Here is a 21,562-nt window from a genome sequence, read left to right on the forward strand (position 1 = left end):
TTCTGAGCCCCAACTCTATATCTATTCATATATCTTTCTCTCGTGCATGCGCTCTTTCTCTCTCCCCACCTGTGCATCCATCTGTCCATTCATCCATCCATCCATCCATCCACTGTCCATTTATCTATCTATCTCCCAGACGCACCCAGAATAATCTCCCTTTTGATTAACTAAAGCCGAGTGACTAGAGACCTTCTGTAACCATAGTAAATGAGCAGGTTGCTCTCTGTCTTGACTTTACTTTTCAAATTAACTTTTAAAATCTATCCTCACCGAGGAAAGGAATTGCCAAGCTACAATTGCACTGCACTTTCCTTCACCTTTGCCATCTAATGTGACCTAATTATAATCTCCCATCTCATTCATATTCATATTCACAAATCTTGAGTGCTTTCCCTACACCAGATTCTTCCAAACATATTAGTTCCCCAGTGTTCATAATGGCGTCATGAGCTGGACATTCTTGCCCTTGATCTACACTCAAGTTTAAGTGACTTGCCCAGTGGTAGCAGAATCAGATTCCACATTTGTGGCCTGGTGGCCTTGTATGCCAACCCTTCCCAACAGGGGAGAAGCCCATAGCACTGATGTGAGAAAACAAATGCAGGTTTGGATCCTGGCTTTGTGGTGGGATTTGGGCTGAGTGATAGCATCTTCTTGTGCCTCAGTCTCCTCCACAATAAGAAGGAAAGGTCTGTTGTAAGGATTAAATGTGATATGATGTAGAAAGTGCTCAGAATCTTGCCCGGCGTAATATCACAGGCTATGGTTACTATTTATTTTGATTAGCATTGCTATTGTTGTTGCCACTGTTAATACTACCCCATAGTAAGAATGTAACAACTTCAGTAGCAGAAGGAGAGGAGGAAAGTGATGCCCTCACAAACCGATGAACCTGGGTGGGAAGTAGGGTCTGCTTGGATCCAAATGTCCTATCTGGTATTATTTCTTATTCCCCAAATTTCTTCCAGATTCATGAACATCATCACAGGACTCAAGTGACTATAATTCAGTAAGTCCAAACCACTAACGTTATGTCTAATTAGCTAGTCTTAATCGACATTAAGATAAATAACTTTTCAAATTATTTTTCCTTGTGAAATTGAGACATGTTGGAGGGCAACCATCTATAATTTAAATCAATGAATTGAGACAAATGTAATTTAGTGGTTGCTGAGAAAAGAGAGAAAAATTTTTTAATGCGCTAATCAACTCACCAGTGTTGATAGTTAGGGGAAAATTCTGAAACACATTAATCAGCTGTGGGTGAAACAGCTCAGAGACAGTATCATGCTGTTAAGAGCATAAACAAGCAGTAATGGTTGAAGAACAAGCAGCACTTGGCCTTCTTGGTCTCCTGCCAGTAGAGATTCCTCATCACCATCATCTCATTTTCTCTCACTTACAGTTGAAAAGTCTAGCCTTCAAGCATAGTGCCCACTGTCTGTAAAGAACACAGCTTGACATTTATTTTTGCTACCTATTTCTCACCTGTCCCACCTCCTTTCTCATTTCAGGCTCCTGATGACATCAATTTCTGAAAGTTTAAAATGTATTCAAGTAAATTTTCCTCCAAATTTGATTGTGCAGTGATAAAGGAAGCCACAGATTTGAACTGGGGATGAGAGCATGTGGAATAGCCACCCACTTCCTGCATGTTGTGAGTTGGGGTGACCCAAAGCTGACAACAGAGGCAAAGGCATAGCACAAATCCAAGAGTTGGAGTCAGGGCAGCACAATCTGACTCTGTAGTTGTAGAGGTAGCCTTGAGATGCTAAACATAGCTTTTCTTTGTTTTCAGCTTCTGTAGTGATAAAAAAAGAAATGTCAACTTTAGATTTCACACTCTAAGTTGTGAAAAATGAGAGCATATTTAATCAGTTGTGATTCTTTCTATTGAAAGTGATAAAGCTTGACACAAACTGTCTTGAGCAAAAATGGGAATTTATTGGCTTATACAAGCAAAAATCTTGGGATGTATTCAGCTTAAGGCAGAATTAAAACCAAGAATTAAAACAAAGCTCTCAGAATTTTCATTGACAAGCTCTGCTTTCCCTCCATATGCTCTAGCCAGGGAGCTCTAACTCTCCCATCATGGTGACAGGTGGTGAGCCATCTCCAGCCTCACAGTCTTTCAATTAAGATGAGCAGGAAGCACATGAGAATCTTTTCTGTGGACCCCAGAGTACTGCCTTTACTAGTTCAACTGACCGGGGGGTACACACTGAAGTGTGGTAGTCAAGAGCTCAAGCTCTAAGTAATTTCCTGGTTTGCAGCCCAGCCCTGTGACCTGGGGAAACTTAGCAACCCTCTCTGAGCTTTATCTATAAAGAGGGCTGGTACCTGCTGCTTAGGGAAAGTATAAAACTCAGATAGGCTTATGCAGACCAAGAGCACAGGGCAGTGCGGATGGCACATGGCAAGAACTTGGTGAATGTTTGCTGCCGTCATCATACCCCCACCCTGAGTCAGTCACAGGGCCAGAGGAATGATCTGAACTGATTGCTTGGGCAATAATCTGAGATTCTGTGCCTGGGCAGACCACCCAGGCAGAGAAGAGGAAGCACAGACCTTCACACTAAATTTACATCATCCCCAGGGGAGACGATCCCATGTTATAAAGTGGGTGGGACACCTTATGACATGAGGAGGGGCATCTCACTTCTCCTTCTGCTCCTCAGCTGTGCTGGAGCTGTGCATGCTGCAGTGAGCGCCAGCTCCCTCCACCCTGGAATTCTGCTGATCTCAGCGGCATGGTTGGTTTGCTTCCTCTGGCTCTCACGCTAGTTGAAGTTGCAGACTCATCCATGTGTAAGAACTGTCCAAGGGGTGCTTGAAGGGCACTCTCAACATTGCATTGCATTGCATTGCCAAGCCACAAACACAGCTTTATGCTCCAAACTCTTCAAGATCAAGAGTATCAACAGCGCTCGGCCTGTTTCCATCGATGAGAAGCAGGCTTCCATCTATTCAGAATGAGAGCCACCACACCAGTTCAAAATGATGAAGCTAGAAGGGGAAACAATTTCCCCAATGTGAAGCTGACAGCTAGCCCCCTGCTTTGACCGACGTGGCTTCTGTGGGCACCCGGAGCAGGGCATGGTATGACTCACAGGGCTTCACCTCCTTGACAATGTGGGAAGTCAGGATGGAAGGAAGGAGGTGAGGCTGAGAGTGGGGGCACAGGCTCTTATCCTTAAAATTAGGAATTCTTGGAGGGAAGTCTCATGACATCGCTGAACCTCAGTTTCCTCGTCTGTGAAAGAGGAAAATAATCCCTGCCTCGCTGAACTGATGTAAGGACTGAATGAGGTGGTGTGTGCAAGTGGCCAGTGAACAGCAGGCCTTCGTACATTGTTAATATGCAGGATTTCATCATCGTTCTAAAGTTAAATTAGGAATAATCTTGATCTGTCCATTCATTTTTTCATTCATTCATTCTTCCATTAAGCATGACCCAGAGCCTTTGTCTTCCTGGAAACTGAAGCACTCCCAGGGAATGCGTCTTCCCTCCTTTCAGTTCTGTAACCGTAGTAAATGAGCAGGTTGCTCTCTGTCTTGACTTTACTTTTCAAATTAACTTTAAAAATCTATCCTCACCGAGGAAAGGAATGCTAATAAAACCTCCCACATTAGACCGGGTTGCAAAAGAAGTCATACACATAATCCTTTCCCAGGTTCACCAATTTTGCTACTTTGACATCCTGGTCCTAGGTGTGCCTAACAGCCACCAGTTTGATACATGGCCCTGAGTCACCTTGCCACATTAGACAAACCTACCCATTGATCCATAAGCAGTTCTCTGTTGTTCTTGATCCATTTGTGCCACTCCCGTGGGCAAGCCCTTGCTCTGCTCAGCATGGAGGGTCTATCTCTTGGCTGCTTTTAAGCCTAGTCTCAAAATATCTGTGGGGTTTTGGTAAGCTGGTTAAACTCTCCAGGCTTCAGTTTCCTCAGTCATAAAACAGGGAAGAAGTCAAAATCACCTCTCAGGGCTGTTAGTCTAACCGAGGCAAATAAGTGCTCTCAGTAAAACTGCAAAGTACTACACAGCTGGCAGCTGTACCAAGCTTGCCTTCCTCCTCCTCCTTTATCCTCCTCCCCCTGCTCCTGCTTGGCATGGCTTGGATCTGTGTCCCCACCCAAATCTCATGTGGAATTGTTATCCCCAGTGTTGGAGGTGGGGCCTTGTGGTAGGTGATTGGATCAGGGAGGCAGTTTCTAATGGTTTAACACCATCCTCATACTGCTGTCTCGTGATAGAGTTCTCGCAAGATCTGACTGTTTAAAAATGTGTAGCACCTCCTCACTCTTCTTTCTCCAGCCATGTAAGATGAGCCTGCTTTCCCTTTGCCTTCTTCCATGATTTTAAGTTTCCTGAGGGCTCCCCAGAAGCTGCTATGCTTCCTGTGCAGCCTGCAGAACCACGAGCCAATTAAACTTCTTTTCTTTATCAATTACCCAGTCTCAGGTATTTCTTTACAGCAATGTGAGAACGGCCTAATACACTGCTCTTCCTCTTTCTCTTCTCCTTTTTTTTAACCTATGGCAGATTTGAGGATAAAATTACATAATGCAAGTGAAAGATCTCTAAAAACTACAGCGTTCCATGATGTTTTATCTCCATCATCAATATTACATTCAACTGCTGCTTGATGATTAATGCACAACGAATTGTCTCTTCCAGGTACAATCAAACACGTAGAAGACCAGGTTGCAATCATGTTTCCCCAAGTTTGCTTTTCCTGACAGATGCTCTATTTTCCAATCTTTATATTTTCATTAAAAAAGTTCCACCCCAGAACCTCACTCCAACATTTTGAAAATATACTGAACATACCTGTGCTTTAGAAGCAGGGCCTGAATATGTATTTGTTTCCTGGTGAACCAACTGATGGAGTTATGCAATGCTGGCATAAATTCACAGCTCATTAAACCAGCCACATAAAACATTATGGGAGCAAACACCTCCCTGAGGAGTCTAGTGGAAAAGAATAAGGAAGCCACAGCCTACATCAAGCCAGATGCCTAATCAGAGCCAACGGTACACACAGAAAGTGCTGATGAAGAGCTTCAGTATGGTGCCGCGTTGGAGTAAATTATGTAATTGTTAATCAACGAGGCATTATCATCCTTGATATTTCATTCACTGCCTAGGTATCCGGAGACACTCACCTGTCTTCTTGTTATTACATATTTTGCAGGACAATGCACTGAGAGATTAGAGTTCATAGCAACCGCCATGTATTTTTATTCTTTCCTGGCTGTGTATGTTACCGAGAAACATAGAGCCTTAACAAGGCCTTTTAGATGTAAAATAATATACAGGGAAACTGTGCTTATTGTGGGGTTTCACAGAGAGTGATGACAATTAGGAATCCCTGTGCCCCTGATTAATGCGTGTTTATAAACACATGTGAAGTGCCTGCCACCCCGTGGTACAATGCAGGAGACAGAGCATGGTTCTGACGAAACGGCCTAGACACAGTATCTAAGCCAGGCATCTGAGAGAAGGCTGACCTCTCCTCTTAGGCTCAGGGGGGTTTGTCGTGGGGGCTGCCTGATCAGCAATGGGAAGACTGAGATAAACACAGGCCTCAACTTCCAGTATTGCCTGCGTGTGCAATGCTCAGTTGCTAACTCACAGAAGTCTAAGAGTTTTTTTTATCCAAGACACTTTTTCACCATCAGCAAGAGAAAAGTATCTCCAGGGTATGACCGTGATGAATCTTGAGGATCCGAAGGGGTCCCACTTCCCTCTTAACTTTCTGCCTTGGGGACAGCTTATTGGCGATGTTTGCTCATTTGAGAAATGTATCACTTAGGGTTCTACTAGAGAAAGAGAACCACTAGGAGATGTATATCTACATCTGTATCTATATCTCTATATCTATATCTATACCTATATCTCTACATGTATATCCATATTTATATGATACAGATGTAGAGATATGAACATGGATATGTTAGGTTGGTGCAAAACTACTTTTGTTTTGTTTTGTTTTGTTTTTCATTGAAAGTAATGGAAAATCCGGCCAGGCGCCGTGGCTCACGCCTGTAATCCTAGCACTTTGGGAGGCCACGGTGTGTGGATCGCTTGAGGTCTGGAGTTTAAGACCAGCCTGACCAACACGGAGAAACCCCATCTCTACTAAAAATACAAAATTAGCCAGGCATGGTGGCGCATGCCTGTAATCCCAGCTACTCAGGGGGCTGAGGCAGGAGAATCGCTGGAACTCAGGAGGCGGAGGTTGCAGTGAGCCAAGATCGTGCCATTGCACTCCAGCCTGGGCGACAAGGGCAAAACTGCATCTCAAAAAAAAAAAAAAAAAATGAAAGTAATGGAAAAACTACAATTACTTCTGTATCAACCTTAATAGACACATAGATAAATAAATCTCTATCTCTATGCATATGATAGATATATTGATATGGATATAGATATATCTACATCTATACCTAATCTCTAAACCTATATCCATGTGTATACAGATACCTATATTTATAGATCTATACCCATCTCTATATTCATATATCTTTATATCTGTATCTATACACTCTATAATTTAAATGTGCCCCCCAGCAAGCCTGTGTTGGGAACTTAATCCCCAATGCAACAGTGTTGACAGGTGGCACATTTGAGAAGTGATTAGGCCATGAGGGCTTTGCTCTCATGAATAGATTAATGCTGATTTAAAAAGGATCTGAGGCTGCCAGTTTGATCTCTTGCTGTCTCTCGCATGGGCTCTTTTCTCCTTCTGCCTTCCACCATGGGATGATGCAGTGAGAAGGCCCTCACCAGATGAGGCTGCTCAATTTTGAACTTCACAGCCTCCAGAATTATGAGCCAAATGCATTTCTGTTCACTATAAATTACTCAGTCTGTGGTATTGTGTTATAGCAGCACAAAACAGACTAAGGAAATATGTGTGTGTGTGTTTATGAAAAGAGAGCAGGAGAAGGAGAAAGAGAGAGATCTCTAAGATCTCTCTGTACAGGGAAATAGAATAGAGGGGTATCTATCTCTATAACCATATATATATTTGAATCTATCTATCTATCTATACAGGGATATTTATGGATAGATCTCTATCTCTGTATCTATATAACTATATATAGAGAGATGAATATGAATATGGACATAGAGACATGTGGATATAGAGACATAGATCTATAGATACACATATATTAAGAGATTTACTGCAAGGAATTGGCTTACATGATTGGGGAAGCTGTCCAGTGGGAAAGCGGGAGGGCAGGCAGGAAACTCTCCTGCAGGAGCTGACACTGCAATCCCCAGGTAGAGTTTCTTCTTCCTTGGGGAAACCTCCGTTTTGCTCTTAAAGCCTTTTAACTGATTGGATAAGGCTCACCCAGACTATTAAGGATAAGCTCCCTCTCTGAAAGCCAACTGCTTGCAGATGCCGACCACATCTGCCAAATACTTTCACTGAAGCGTGTAGGTTAGTGTCTGGTTGAGTCACTGGGTACATCAGCTTAGCCATGTTGACACATGGAGGTGTCCATCACAGGAAGTGAATGTGAGAATTCTTACCAGGTTTGAGAGCATAGTAGGAGTGCTGAGAAGTTAAATATGGGAAAATAATTTGGGGGAAGAATTTCTGTCAACTCTTCAAATTATTGGGTGTACCATGTATGTGTTAAACACCAGTCAGCCACAAACATACCCTTAACACTCTTTCAATAACTCATGGACTAGCTTATGCACTAGCTCATGCATGTACTAATGCTGTGCTCCACCCTGCATGGCTGTGTGAAGCAGGTTCACACTGCACTGGTATCAATCCCAGGGGAGAACTCTGAACACCTTATCCACTGTATCATGAGCTGGAACAATTTCTATCACATGTCTGAGTCTAGTGAGGCAGAACACCCACACACAAGACACGTGAAGCATGTTACTTACAGCAAGGAACAACAGAAGCCTAGGGTTCATGGTGAGCCAGTCCTCCAAGACTCAGGTAAGGTGTTCAGAGTGCATGGACCTTTTCTCCTTAATTCCTCTATAGCGGAGGGACTCTGGAACACAACCTACCCTCCGTTTTATATCCTGGGTGAAACATGACTTGTGGGCTAAAGCATTGTAGGACATTCTGTTCTACAAGGAACAACAACAGAGCCCAGGCTATTCCAGCCAGTTCATCCTTAGCTCAAGGTATTATATTCTCAGCATGTTCTATGGTTATTCTTGAGAACTACAAGTGAGTAAAGGAGGACAACTGGTTCAGTCCACAGCCAACTGGAGAACCGTCCTGCAGGCTGAATTACCAAACTGCCATATAACTCTAGAAGGATGATATGGTTTGGCTGTGTCCCACCCAAATCTCATCTTGAATTGTAGCTCCCATAATCTCCATGTGTCATGGGAGAGACCCTGTGGGAAGTAATTGAATCATAAGGGTGGGTTTTTCCCATCTGTTCTCATGAGAGTGAATAAGTCTCGTGAGATCTGATGGTTTAATAAATGGGAGTTCCCCTGTACATGCTCTCTTGCCTGCCACCATGTTAAACATAGTTTTGCTTCTCCTTTGCCTTCCACCATGATTGTAAGGCCTCCCCAGCCATGTGGAACTGTGAGTCCATTAAACCTCTCTTTCTTTATAAATTACCCAGTCTCTGGTATGTCTTTATTAGCAGCATGAGGACAGACTAATACAATAAATTGGTACCAGGTAGTAGGATGCTGCTGTAAAGATACCCAAAAATGTGGAAGCAACTTTGGAACTGGGTAACAGGCAGAGGTTGGAACTGTTTGGAGGGCTCAGAAGAAAACAGGAAGATGTGGGAAAGTTTAGAACTTCCTAGAGACTTGGAGGGCTCAGAAGACAGAGAGATGTGGGAAAGTTCAAAACTTCCTGAAGACTTGTTGAATGGCTTTGATCAAAATGCTGATAGTGGTATGAATGATAAAGTCCAGGCTGAAGTGGTCTCAGACGGTGATGAGAAACTTGTTGGGAACTGGAGTAAAAGTCACTCTTGCTATGCAAAGAGACTGGTGGCATTTTGTCCTTGCCCTAGAGACCTATGGAACTTTGAACTTGAGAGAGATGATTTAGGGTAACTGGTGGCAGAAATTTCTAAGCAGCAAAATGTTCAAGAGAAAGCAGAGCATAAAAACTTCACAAATTTGCAGCCAGGCAATGCAGTAGAAAAGAAAAACCCATTTTCTGGGGAGAAATTCAAGCCAGCTGCAGAAATTTGCATAAGTAATGAGAAGCCAAATGTTAATTGCCAGGACAATGGGGAAAGTGTCTCCAGGGTATGTCAGATACCTCTGTGGCAGCCCCTCCCATCACAGACCTGGAGGCCTAGAAGGAAAAAATGGTTTGTGGGCCAAGCCCAGGATGACCTTGCTGAATGCAGCCTAGGAACTTGGTGCCCTGCGTCCCAGCCACTCCAGCCATAGCTAAAAGGGGACAAGGTACAGCTCGGACTGTGGCTTCAGAGGGTGCAAGCCCCAAGCCTTGGCAGCTTCCACATGGTGTTGAGTCTGCAGGTGCATGGAAGTCAAGAATTGAGGTTTGGGAACCTCTGCCTAGATTTCAGAAGATGTATGGAAATGCCTGGATGTCCAGTTTGCTGCAGGGGTGGGACTCTCATGAAGAACCTCTACTAGGGCAGTGTGGAAAGCAAATGTGGGGTTGGAGCCCCCAAACAGAGTCCCCACTGGGACACTGCCTAGTGGAGCTGTGAGAAGAGGACTGCCATCCTCCAGGCCCCAGAATGGTAGATCCACTGACAGGTTGCACTGTGTGCCTGGAAAAGCCACAGACACTCAATGCCAGCCTGTGAAAGCAGCCTGCAGGGAGGCTGTACCCTGCAAAGCCACAAGAGCAGAGCTGCTCAAGGCTGTGGGAGCCCACCTCTTGCATCAGTGTGACCCAGATCCAAGACATGTGGTAAAAGGAGATCATTTTGGAGATTTAAGATTTGACTTCCCTACTGAATTTTGGACTTGTATGGGGCCTGCAGCCCCTTCAGTTTGGCCAATTTCTCCCATTTGGAATGGATGTATTTACCCAATGCCTGTACCCCCATTGTATCTAGGAAGTAACTAACTTGCTTTTGATTTCACAGGCTCATAGGCAGAAAGGACTTGCCTTGTCTCAGATGAGACTTTGGACTGTGGACTTTTGAGTTAATGCTGAAATGAGTTAAGACTTTGGGGGACTGTTGGGAAGGCATGATTGGTTTTGAAATGTGAAGACATGAGATTGAGGAGGAGCCAGGTGTGGAATCACATGATTTGGCTGGGTCTACACCCAAATCTCATCTTGAATTTTACTCCCATAATCTACCATGTCATAGGAGGGACCTGGTGGAAGGTAATTGAATCATGGGGCTGGTTTTTCCCATGCTGTTCTCATGATAGTGAATAGGTCTCATGATATCTGATGGTTTCATAAAGGGCAGTTCCCCTCACATTTCCTCTTGCCTGCTGCCATGTAAGATGTACCTTTGTTCCTCCTTCACCTTTTGCCATGATTATGAGGCTTCTCAAGCCATGAGGAACTGTGAGTTCATTAAACTTCTTCTTTTAAATAAATTACCCAGTCTCCAGTATGTCTGTATTAGTAGTGTGAGAACAGACTAATACAAAGGGAGACCCTAGTTTTTTTTTTTCTTATTTTATTATTATACTTTAGGTTTTAGGGTACATGTGCATAATGTGCAGGTTTATTAGATATGTATACATGTGCCATGTTGGTGTGCTGCACCCATTAACTCATCATTTTACATTAGGTATATCTCCTAATGCTATCTCTCCCCCGTCCCCCACCCCACAACAGGCCCCAGTGTGTGATGTTCCCCATCCTGTGTCCAAGTGTTCTCATTGTTCAATTCCCACCTATGAGTTAGAACATGCAGTGTTTGGTTTTCTGTCCTTGTGATAGTTTGCTGAGAATGATGGTTTCCAGCTTCATCCATGTTCCTACAAAGGACAAGAATTCATCCTTTTTTATGGCTGCATAGTATTCCATAGTGTATATGTGCCACATTTTCTTAATCCAGTCTATCGTTGTTGGACATTTGGGGTGGTTCCAAGTCTTTGCTATTGTGAATAGTGCCACAATAAACATACGTGTGCATGTGTCTTTATAGCAGCATGATTTATAGTCATTTGGGTATATACCCAGTAATGGTATGGCTGGGTCAAATGGTATTTCTAGTTCTAGATCCTTGAGGAATCGCCACACTGTCTTCCATAATGGTTGAACTAGTTTAGAGTCCCACCAACAGTGTAAAAGTGTTCCTATTTCTCCACATCCTCTCCAGCACCTGTTGTTTCCTGACATTTAATGATCGCCATTCTAATTGGTGTGAGATGGTATCCCATTGTGGTTTTGATTTGCATTTTTCTGATGGCCAGAGATGATGAGCATTTTTTCATGTGTCTGTCGGCTGCATAGATGTCTTCTTTTGAGAAGTGTCTGTTCATATCCCTTGCCCACATTTTGATGGGGTTGTTTGATTTTTTCTTGTACATTTGTTTGAGTTCTTTGTAGATTCTGGATATTAGCCTTTTGTCAGATGGGTAGATGGCAAAAATTTTCTCCCATTCTGTAGGTTGCCTATTCACTCTGATGCTAGTTTCTTTTTTAAAATTTATTTATTTTATTATTATTATACTTTAAGCTTTAGGGTACATGTGCACAACGTGCAGGTTTGTTACATATGTATACATGTGCCATGTTGGTGTGCTGCACCCATTAACTCATCATTTAGCATTAGGTATATCTCCAAATGCTATCCCTCCCCCCTCCCCCCACCCCACAATGGTCCCCGGAGTGTGATGTTCCCCTTCCTGTGTCCATGTGTTCTCATTGTTCAATTCCCACCTATGAGTGAGAACATGCGGTGTTTGGTTTTTTGTCCTTGCGATAGTTTGCTGAGAATGATGGTTTCCAGTTTCATCCATGTCCTTACAAAGGACATGAACTCATCATTTTTTATGGCTGCATAGTATTCCATGGTGTATATGTGCCACATTTTCTTAATCCAGTCTATCGTTGTTGGACATTTGGGTTGGTTCCAAGTCTGCTATTGTGAATAGTGCCGCAATAAACATACGTGTGCATGTGTCTTTATAGCAGCATGATTTATAATCCTTTGGGTATATACCCAGTAATGGGATGGCTGGATCAAATGGTATTTCTAGTTCTACATCCTTGAGGAATCGCCACACTGACTTCCACCATGGTTGAACTAGTTTACAGTCTGACCAACAGTGTAAAAGTGTTCCTATTTCTCCACATCCTCTCCAGCACCTGTTGTTTCCTGACTTTTTAATGATCGCCATTCTCACTGGTGTGAGATGGTATCTCATTGTGGTTTTGATTAGCATTTCTCTGATGACCAGTGATGATGAGCATTTTTTCATGTGTTTTTTGGCTGCATAAATGTCTTCTTTTGAGAAGTGTCTGTTCATATCCTTTGCCCACTTTTTGATGGGGTTGTTTGTTTTTTTCTTGTAAATTTGTTTGAGTTCATTGTAGATTCTGGATATTAGCCCTTTGTCAGATGAGTAGGTCGTGAAAATTTTCTCCCATTTTGTAGGTTGCCTGTTCACTCTGAAGGTAGTTTCTTTTGCTGTGCATAAGCTCTTTAGTTTAATTAGATCCCATTTGTCAATTTTGGCTTTTGTTGCCATTGCTTTTGGTGTTTCAGACATGAAGTCCTTGCCCATGCCTATGTCCTGAATGGTATTGCCTAAGTTTTCTTCTAGGGTTTTTATGGTTTTAGGTCTAACATATAAGTCTTTAATCCATCTTTAATTAATTTTTGTATAAGGTGTAAGGAACAGATCCAGTTTCAGCTTTCTACATATGGCTAGCCAGTTTTCCCAGCACCATTTATTAAATAGGGAATCCTTTCCCCATTGCTTGTTTTTCTCAGGTTTGTCAAAGATCAGATGGTTGTAGATATGCGGCATTATTTCTGAGGGCTCTGTTCTGTTCCATTGGTCTGTATCTCTGTTTTGGTACCAATACCATGCTGTTTTGGTGTCTGTAGCCTTGTAGTACAGTTTGAAGTCAGGTGGCGTGATGCCTCCAGCTATGTTCTTTTGGCTTAGGATTGTCTTGTCAATGCAGGCTCTTTTTTGATTCCATATGAACTTTAAAGTAGTTTTTTCCAATTCTGTGAAGAAACTCATTGGTAGCTTGATGGGGATGGCATTGAATCTATAAATTACCTTGGGCAGTATGGCCATTTTCATGATACTGATTCATCCTATCCATGAGCATGGAATGTTCTTCCATTTGTTTGTATCCTCTTTTATTTCCTTGAGCAGTGGTTTACAGTTCTCCTTGAAAAGATCCTTCACATTCCTTGTAAGTTGGATTCCTAGGTATTTTATTCTCTTTGAAGCAATTGTGAATGGGAGTTCACACATGATTTGGCTCTCTGTTTGTCTGTTATTGGTGTATAGGAAGGCTTGTGATTTTTGCACATTGATTTTGTATCCTGAGACTTTGCTGAAGTTGCTTATCAGCTTAAGGAGGTTTTGGGCTGAGACTATGGGGTTTTGTAAATATACAATCATGTCATCTGCAAACAGGGACAATTTGACTTCCTGTTTTCCTAATTGAATACCCTTTATTTCTTTCTCCTGCCTGATTGCCCTGGCCAAAACTTTCAGCACTATGTTGAATAGGAGTGGTGAGAGAGGGCATCCCTGTCTTGTGCCAGTTTTCAAAGGTAATGCTTCCAGTTTTTGCCCATTCAGTATGATATTGGCTGTGGATTTGTCATAAATAGCTCTTATTATTTTGAGATACATCCCATCAATACCTAATTTATTGAGTTTTTAGCATGGAGGGCTGTTGAATTTTATTGAAGGACTTTTCTGCATCTATTGGGATAATCATGTGGTTTTTGTCTTTAGTTCTGTTCATATGATGGATTACGTTTATTGATTTGCGTATGTTGAACCAGCCTTGCATCCCAGTGATGAAGCCCACTTGATCGTGGTGGATAAGCTTTTGGATGTGCTGCCGGATTTGGTTTGCCAGTATTTTATTGAGGATTTTTGCATCGACGTTCATCAGGGATATTGGTCTAAAATTATCTTTTTTTTGTTGTGTCTCTGCCAGACTTTGGTATCAGGATGATGCTTGCCTCAAAAAATGAATCAGGGAGAATTCCCTCTTTTTCTATTGATTAGAACAGTTTCGGAAGGAATGGTACCAGCTCCTCGTTGTACATCTGGTAGAATCTGGCTGTGAATCTGTCTGGTCCTGGACTTTTTTTGGTTGGTAGGCTATTAATTATTGCCCCAATTTCAGAGCCTGTTATTGGTCTGTTCAGGGATTCAACTTCTTCCTGGTTTAGTCTTGGGAGGGTGTATGTGTCCAGGAATTTATCCATTTCTTCTAGATTTTCTAGTTTATTTGCATAGAGGTGTTTATATTATTCTCTGATGGCAGTTTATATTTCTGTGGGATCAGTGGTGATATCCCCTTTATCATCTTTTATTGCATCTATTTGATTCTTCTCTCTTTTCTTCTGTATTAGTCTTGCTAGTGGTCTATCAATTTTGTTGATCTTTTCAAACAAACAGCTCCTGGATTCATTGATTTTTTGAAGGGTTTTTTGTGTCTCTATCTCCTTCAGTTCTGCTCTGATCTTAGTTATTTCTTGCTTTCTGCTAGCTTTTGAATGTGTTTGCTCTTGCTTCTCTAGTTCTTTTAATTGTGATGTTAGGGTGTCAATTTTAGATCTTTTCTGCTTTCTCTTGTGGGCATTTAGTGCTATAAATTTCCCCCCACATACTGCTTTAAATGTGTCCCAGAGATTCTGGTATGTTGTGTTTTTGTTCTCATTGGTTTCAAAGAACATCTTTATTTCTGCCTTCATTTCGTTATGTACCCAGTAGTCATTCAGGAGCAGGTTGTTCAGTTTCCATGTAGTTGAATGGTTTTGAGTGGGTTTCTTTTTTTTTTTTTTTTTTTTTTTGAGATGGAGTCTCGCTGTTTCGCCCAGGCCGGAGTGCAGTGGCGCTTATCTCGGCTCACTGCAAGCTCCACCTCCGGGGTTCACACCATTCTCCTTCCTCAGCTTCCCGAGTAGCTGGGACTACAGGCACCCACCACCGTGCCCAGCTAATTTTTTGTATTTTTAGTAGAGACGGGGTTTCACCATGTTAGCCAGGATGGTCTCGATCTCCTGACCTCGTGATCCGCCCATCTTGGCCTCCCAAAGTGCTGGGATTACAGGGGTGAGCCACCATGCCTGGCCTTGAGTGGGTTTCTTAATCCGGAGTTCTAGTTTGATTGCACTGTGGCCTAAGAGACAGTTTGTTATAATTTATGTTCTTTTACATTTGCTGAGGAGTGCTTTACTTGCAACTATGTGGTCAATTTTGGAATAAGTGTGATGTGGTGCTGAGAAGAATGTATAATCTGTTGATTTGGGGTGGAGAGTTCTGTAGATGTCTATTAGGTCTGCTTGGTGCAGAGCTGAGTTCAATTCCTGGATATCCTTGTTAACTTTCTGTCTTGTTGATGTGTCTAATGTTGACAGTGGGGTGTTAAAATCTCCCATTATTATTGTGCGGGAGTCGAAGTCTCTTTTTAGGTCTCTAAGGACTTGCTTTGTGAATCTGGGTGCTCCTGTATTGGGTGCATATATATTTAGGATAGTTAGCTCTTCTTGTTGAATTGATCCCTTTACCATTATGTAATGGCCTTCTTTGTCTCTTTTCATCTTTGTTGGTTTAAAGTCTGTTTATCAGAGACTAGGATTGCAACCCCTGCTTTTTTTTTGTTTTCCATTTGCTTAGTAGATCTTCCTCCATCCCTTTATTTTGAGCCTATGTGTGTCTCTGCACGTGAGATGGGTCTCCTGAAGACAGCACACTGATGGGTCTTGACTCTTTATCCAATTTGCCAGTCAGTGTCTTTTTTATTGGAACATTTAGCCCATTTACATTTAAGGTTAATATTGTTATGTGTGAATTTGATCCTGTCATTATGATGTTAGCTGGTTATTTTGCTCGTTAGTTGATGCAGTTTCTTCCTAGCATCGATGGTCTTTACAATTTGGCATGTTTTTGCAGTGGCTGGTACCAGTTGTTCCTTTCCATGTTTAGTGCTTCCTTCAGGAGCTCTTGTAAGGCACTCCTGGTGGTGACAAAATCCCTCAGCATTTGCTTGTCTGTAAAGTATTTTATTTCTCCTTCACTTATGAAGCTTAGTTTGGCTGGATGTGAAATTCTGGGTTAAAAATTCTTTTCTTTAAGAATGTTGAATATTGGTCCCCCCTCTCCTGCGGCTTGTGGAGTTTCTGCCAAGAGATCCGCTGTTAGTCTGATGGGCTTCCCTTTGTGGGTAACCTGACCTTTCTCTCTGGCTGCCTTTAACATTTTTTTCCTTCATTTCAACTTTGGTGAATCTGACAATTATTTGTCTTGGAGTTGCTCTTCTCGAGGAGTATCTTTGTGGCATTCTCTGTATTTCCTGAATTCGAATGTTGGCCTGCCTTTCTGGGTTGGGGAAGTCCTCCTGGATAATATCCTGAAGAGTGTTTTCCAACTTGGTTCCATTCTCCTCATCACTTTCAGGTCCACCAATCAGACGTAGATTTGGTCTTTTCACATAGTCCCATATTTCTTGGAGGCTTTGTTCATTTCTTTTTACTCTTTTTTCTCTAAACTTCTCTTCTTGCTTCATTTCATTCATTTCATCTTCAATCGCTGATACCCTTTCTTCTAGTTGATTGAATCAGCTACCGAAGCTTGTGCATGCATCACGTAGTTCTCGTGCCATGGTTTTCAGCTCCATCAGGTAATTTAAGGTCTTCTGTACATTGTTTATTCTAGTTAGCCATTCATCTAATCTTTTTTCAAGGTTTTTAGCTTCTTTGCGATGGGTTCGAACATCCTCCTTTAGCTCAGAGAAGTTTGTTATTACCGATCATCTGAAGCCTTCTTCTCTCAACTTGTCAGTCATTCTCTGTCCAACTTTGTTCCGTTGCTGGCAAGGAGCTGCATTCTTTTGGAGGAGAAGAGGAGCTCTGATTTTTAGAATTTTCAGCTTTTCTGCTCTGGTTTCTCCCCCATCTTTGTGGTTTTATCTACCTTTGGTCTTCGATGATGGTGACATACAGATGGGGTTTTGGTGTGGATGTCGTTTCTGTTCGTTAGTTTTCCTTCCAACAGGGCCCTCAGCTGCAAGTCTGTTGGAGTTTGCTGGAGGTGCACTCCAGACTCTGTTTGCCTGGGTATCACCAGCGGAGGCTGCAGAACAGCAAATATTGCAGAACGGCAAATGGTGCTGTCTGATCGTTCCTCTGGAAGCTTCATCTCAGAGGGGCTCCTGGCCGTATGAGGTGTCAGTCGGCCCCTACTGGGAGGTGCCTCCCAGATAGGCTACTCGGGGGTCAGGGACCCACTTAAGGAGGCAGTCTGTCCGTTCTCAGATCTCAAACTCCATGCTGGGAGAACCACTACTCTCTTCAAAGCTGTCACACAGGGACTTTTAAGTCTGCAGAAGTTTCTGCTGCCTTTTGTTCAACTATGCCCTGCCCCTAGAGGTGGAGTCTACAGAGGCAGGCAGGCCCTCTTGAGCTGTGGTGGGCTCCACCCAGTTCAAGCTTCCCGGCCACTCTGTTTACCTACTCAAGCCTCAGCAATGGTGGGCGCTCCTCCCCCAGCCTTGCTGCCACCTTGCAGTTGGATCTCAGACTGCTGTGCTAGCAGTGAGCAAGGCTCCATGGGCGTGGGACCCTCCGAGCCATGCATGGGATATAATCTCCTGGTGTGCCGTTTGCTAAGACCATTGGAAAAGCACAGTATTAGGGTGGGAGAGACACGATTTTCCAGGTGCCCTCTTTCATGGCTTCCCTTGGCTAGGGAAGGGAATTTCCTGACCCCTTGCACTTCCTGGGTGAGGTGATACTCCACCCTGCTTCGGCTCACACTCCGTGTGCTGCAGCCACTGTCCTTCACCCACTGTCCGACAAGCCCCAGTGAGATGAACCCAGTACTTCAGTTGGAAATGCAGAAATCACCCATCTTCTGCGTCACTTACACTGGGAGCTGTAGACTGGAGCTGCTCCTATTCGACCATCTTGGAACCTCTCCCCGGGAGACCCCAGTTTTATCCCCACTTTATTGATGATGAAGCACAGGTGCAGTCATGCAAGAAGCTCACAGCAGAGCTAGGATTTGAGCCCAAGAATCCTGTCACCTGTTTTTAATCTTTTTTTTTAAATAAGACTTCCAAATGATCTTTGTATTTTGAACCAATTCTGAATTATTCTGTTGAGGCTGATAGGAGTTAGCACTGATGATCCCAATCATTACCCATGAAGTTTTGGACAAGTCATTCTGCCTCTCTTGGTCTCCGTTTTACCACAGGTTAAATGGGGGTACACTCCCCCTTTTAGGCAGCCTCTTAGTTTTAAGATCGCTGACAAGTTTCGAAGGCATAAAGTGTGTGGATATGTTTTATAAATTGTAAGAACTGTGCATATGGGAAACATTCTTTTCCCTTAACTTCTTACATGCATAATTTTCCCAGCAACTACATCTGTGCTCAGCTTTGCTTAATGAATTGCCCTACACAACAGGCAGGAATAGCTCCATGGCACATGAGGTGCAATTTAAAACATGGCATCTCTAAAATGCATTTATTTCTAGCCCTTTTTCCATATGATTGAAGAGAAGTCTCATTTCTCTGTATCCTCCTTTTGCTCTCCTGTGTCTCCTAGAACCAGAGGCTCTAGGAGTCCTCAGGGCAAGGTCTCCATCCATGACAGATAGAAGCCTCTGAGACTCCCTGCCCAAGCTCATATCCCCATTGCGAGTAATCTCCTCTGTCCAAAGTTAGCCACCAGGCAACTTGCAGAGGCACCTAGGGACTCATGTTCAAAATCTTAGCCTCTACAAACACCTGTGGTTAGGGCCCTGTCCCTGGCACTTCCCAATTGCAAAGTTTGGGCCACTTTTCTCTTTTCTAACTGCAGACTCCAGTTCCTTCCTTCCAGGATAGTGCAACCCTGATGTGCTTCCCCCTTGAAAACAGCTCATGCCAGCCCTACACGCTGTCCTCCTTCATAGAATGGCAGCCCTGGTTTCAGAGGAGCCTGGGTCTTTGGGAAGAAAAGGCCATTGTCTCCTTGGCAAAAAGGTCAAAGGAGCTGTCTCCTCCTCCTTCTCCTCCTTTTTCTTCTCCTCTTCTTCTCCCTTCTCCTCCTCCTCTCTCTTCTCTTCCTTCCCTGCCTCCTCTTCATTTTCCCCTCTCCTGGTCCTCTTCCTCCTCCTCATCTCCCTACTCCTTCTCCTCCTCTTCTTCCTCATGTTTGTCCTCCTCTATCTCCTCCTCTGCCTTCTTTTTGCTTGTTTAGTCTGAAGCTGTGACTACAAACCACTTTTTTTTTGGTCAGTATCTCAACTCATCAGGTCTGTTTTCATAAGTAAACAGGCATGGGGTGAGTAGTTGCAGTGGTTGTAGGTGTTGGAGGTGCCAGTCCTCCCTCACACACAGCTCTCACCCAGTGTTTTGGGTGGAACCTGAAAGTGAGGATGGAGCCCATTTGTAGAGCTCTCCAAGGAAGCCTGTTGCTATGGAAACTTCAGCTTGGCACCGTATGCAAATACCTGTCTCCCTTGAAACTTGCCTGACAGTGATGCTGAGCAGAAAATATAGAACACGGTAAAATGGGTTTTAACTTTTATGTAGGGACTGTAAGAGCTGTGCCTTCTAATTAATTATGCACAAGCACTCCAAGAGGCAACCTGGTAGAAATGTCTGCAGGTAATGTCCTTTTGACAAATTCCCTTCAACTCTTAATTTTTTAAAGGGAACTTTTTTTCAGTAAATAGAATGAGAAAAGGAGAGTCAGTTCATTTTGAACAGGCTGCTGTGGACACCCATTAGCGGTGTGCTCACTGCACAAGCTTCACTTCTCCTCATTAGTGTGACATGAACACAACTGCCAAGGGCCCAGCATGGAGGCCATCAGTCCTGTCGCACATGCTCAGGGACAATCCCATGGGGGCTGTCTCAAATAAATGAAAAGCGTGGGAAGCCCCCCTGAAATAACCATAAGCTGCCCTCTCAGGGGGTGTCTGCCTTCTAAGACCACTCGGGTGATCCTGGCAGTGGATCCGGATTCCAGGTGCCAAGGGGACATTTTGCAGAGCTCAGAAAGAGAGAGGCATGGAATTTGGGTTCCCTGGGGCTCAGCCAGGTCCTGAGCTCTCCAAGGCTTCCAAGGAGGCAGAGAAGAAATACCTGGGCCTGGTGGAGCTCTGGGTGTTACGTTACCGAAGTTTATCATCGCCAGTACAAGAAGAGGCTAGCAAAGAGGGAAGTGGACACATTAAGGCCGAGGCTGGAAAATCAGCCAGGGATGATGGCACAAACAGGGGAAGAATTTAGCGGCTCCCGGTGCACATGAACCCCTGTGCTGAGTCACACTGTTTGTGCCTTTAGGACCCTGGATGGGCCCTGGTGAGGAAGCAGCCTCACGAGCCTTCCAGAAGCAAGCCCAGTAGCACTGGCCACTCGAGTCCACCCTGTAATGTCTGGGTCCTTCTCAGTGGGGTGGGCAGACTACAGAGGACAGAGGGAGCTGAGATGGTGCAACCCTGGGGCCCAAGAAGCAGACACGAAATAGGAGTCAGGCAGCAGAGGTGGAGGTGGAGGCAGATCTCCTGCAGTGGGGTGTAGGGGCATTGGCACAGGGACACAGCGGGCCTGATGGTGCAGGAGCTGCAGGTGCCCTGCTGAAGGCAGAATCTGCCTGGACCCCAGCAAGCAGATCCCACAGCAAAGTCACGTGGCCGCATTCCATCCACAGAATGACTCTCTGGAGTGGGTCCCACTTCCCGTTTATAGATGAGGAAACTGAGGCCCAGTGAGGTGCGAGAGACTTGGCCTGGGGCACAGTCCACCATCTGCTGAGGCGTCATGATTGGTCTCTAACTCACATCCACTCGAGGCTCCTCTATCGTGAACATATCACAGGAGAGGTGGGTTATGCTACAGTTGAGTTGTTCCCTCTCAAATATCTTATGTTGAAGTCCTACCCACCAGTAACTTAGAATGTGACCTTACTCGGAAATATGATCCTTGCGGTTGGAATTAGTTAAGTCAAAAATGAGGACATACTGGAGCAGGGTGGGCCCCTAATCAGTTGGACTGGTGTCCTTATAAAAAGGGGAGATGCAGGCTGAGGGGCACAGGTGCAGGGAGAAGGCCAGATAGAGATAAAGGCAGAAATCGAGGTGATGCATCTATAAGCCCAGAACTGCCAATGATTGCCAGCAACCACCAGCAGAGTGGTGTGGGGCAGGTTTTCCTTCACTGCCCCAGAAGAAAGCAACCCTTGATCTTAGACTTCTAACCTCCAGAACTGGGAGACAATAAGTTTCTGTTGTTTTAAGTACCCAGTCTGCAGCAAACGTCCCCCAGCCCTGCAGCTGCAGGAAGTGGCTCAGGTCAGACCACCGCTAAGGTACATTCCACGTGAGGGCTGGAGAGGGCCATCGGTGCCTTTACCAACAGTGTTGATGCCTCACCCTGGGCATCGG

The 21,562-nt window shown here is 44.0% G+C and overlaps 1 annotated feature.

The window, feature by feature from the left end:
* Positions 20,061–20,562: an enhancer, noted in NCBI's record as "H3K4me1 hESC enhancer chr1:4929251-4929752 (GRCh37/hg19 assembly coordinates)". NCBI's record gives its function as "activates a minimal SCP1, AML or CMV promoter by ChIP-STARR-seq in naive H9 embryonic stem cells {active_cell/tissue: H9 hESC(naive)}" and the evidence as "EXISTENCE:reporter gene assay evidence [ECO:0000049][PMID:30033119]".

The sequence above is a fragment of the Homo sapiens genome, chromosome 1, assembly GCF_000001405.40.
Source record: "Homo sapiens chromosome 1, GRCh38.p14 Primary Assembly".
NCBI classification, from domain to species: Eukaryota; Metazoa; Chordata; class Mammalia; order Primates; family Hominidae; genus Homo; species Homo sapiens.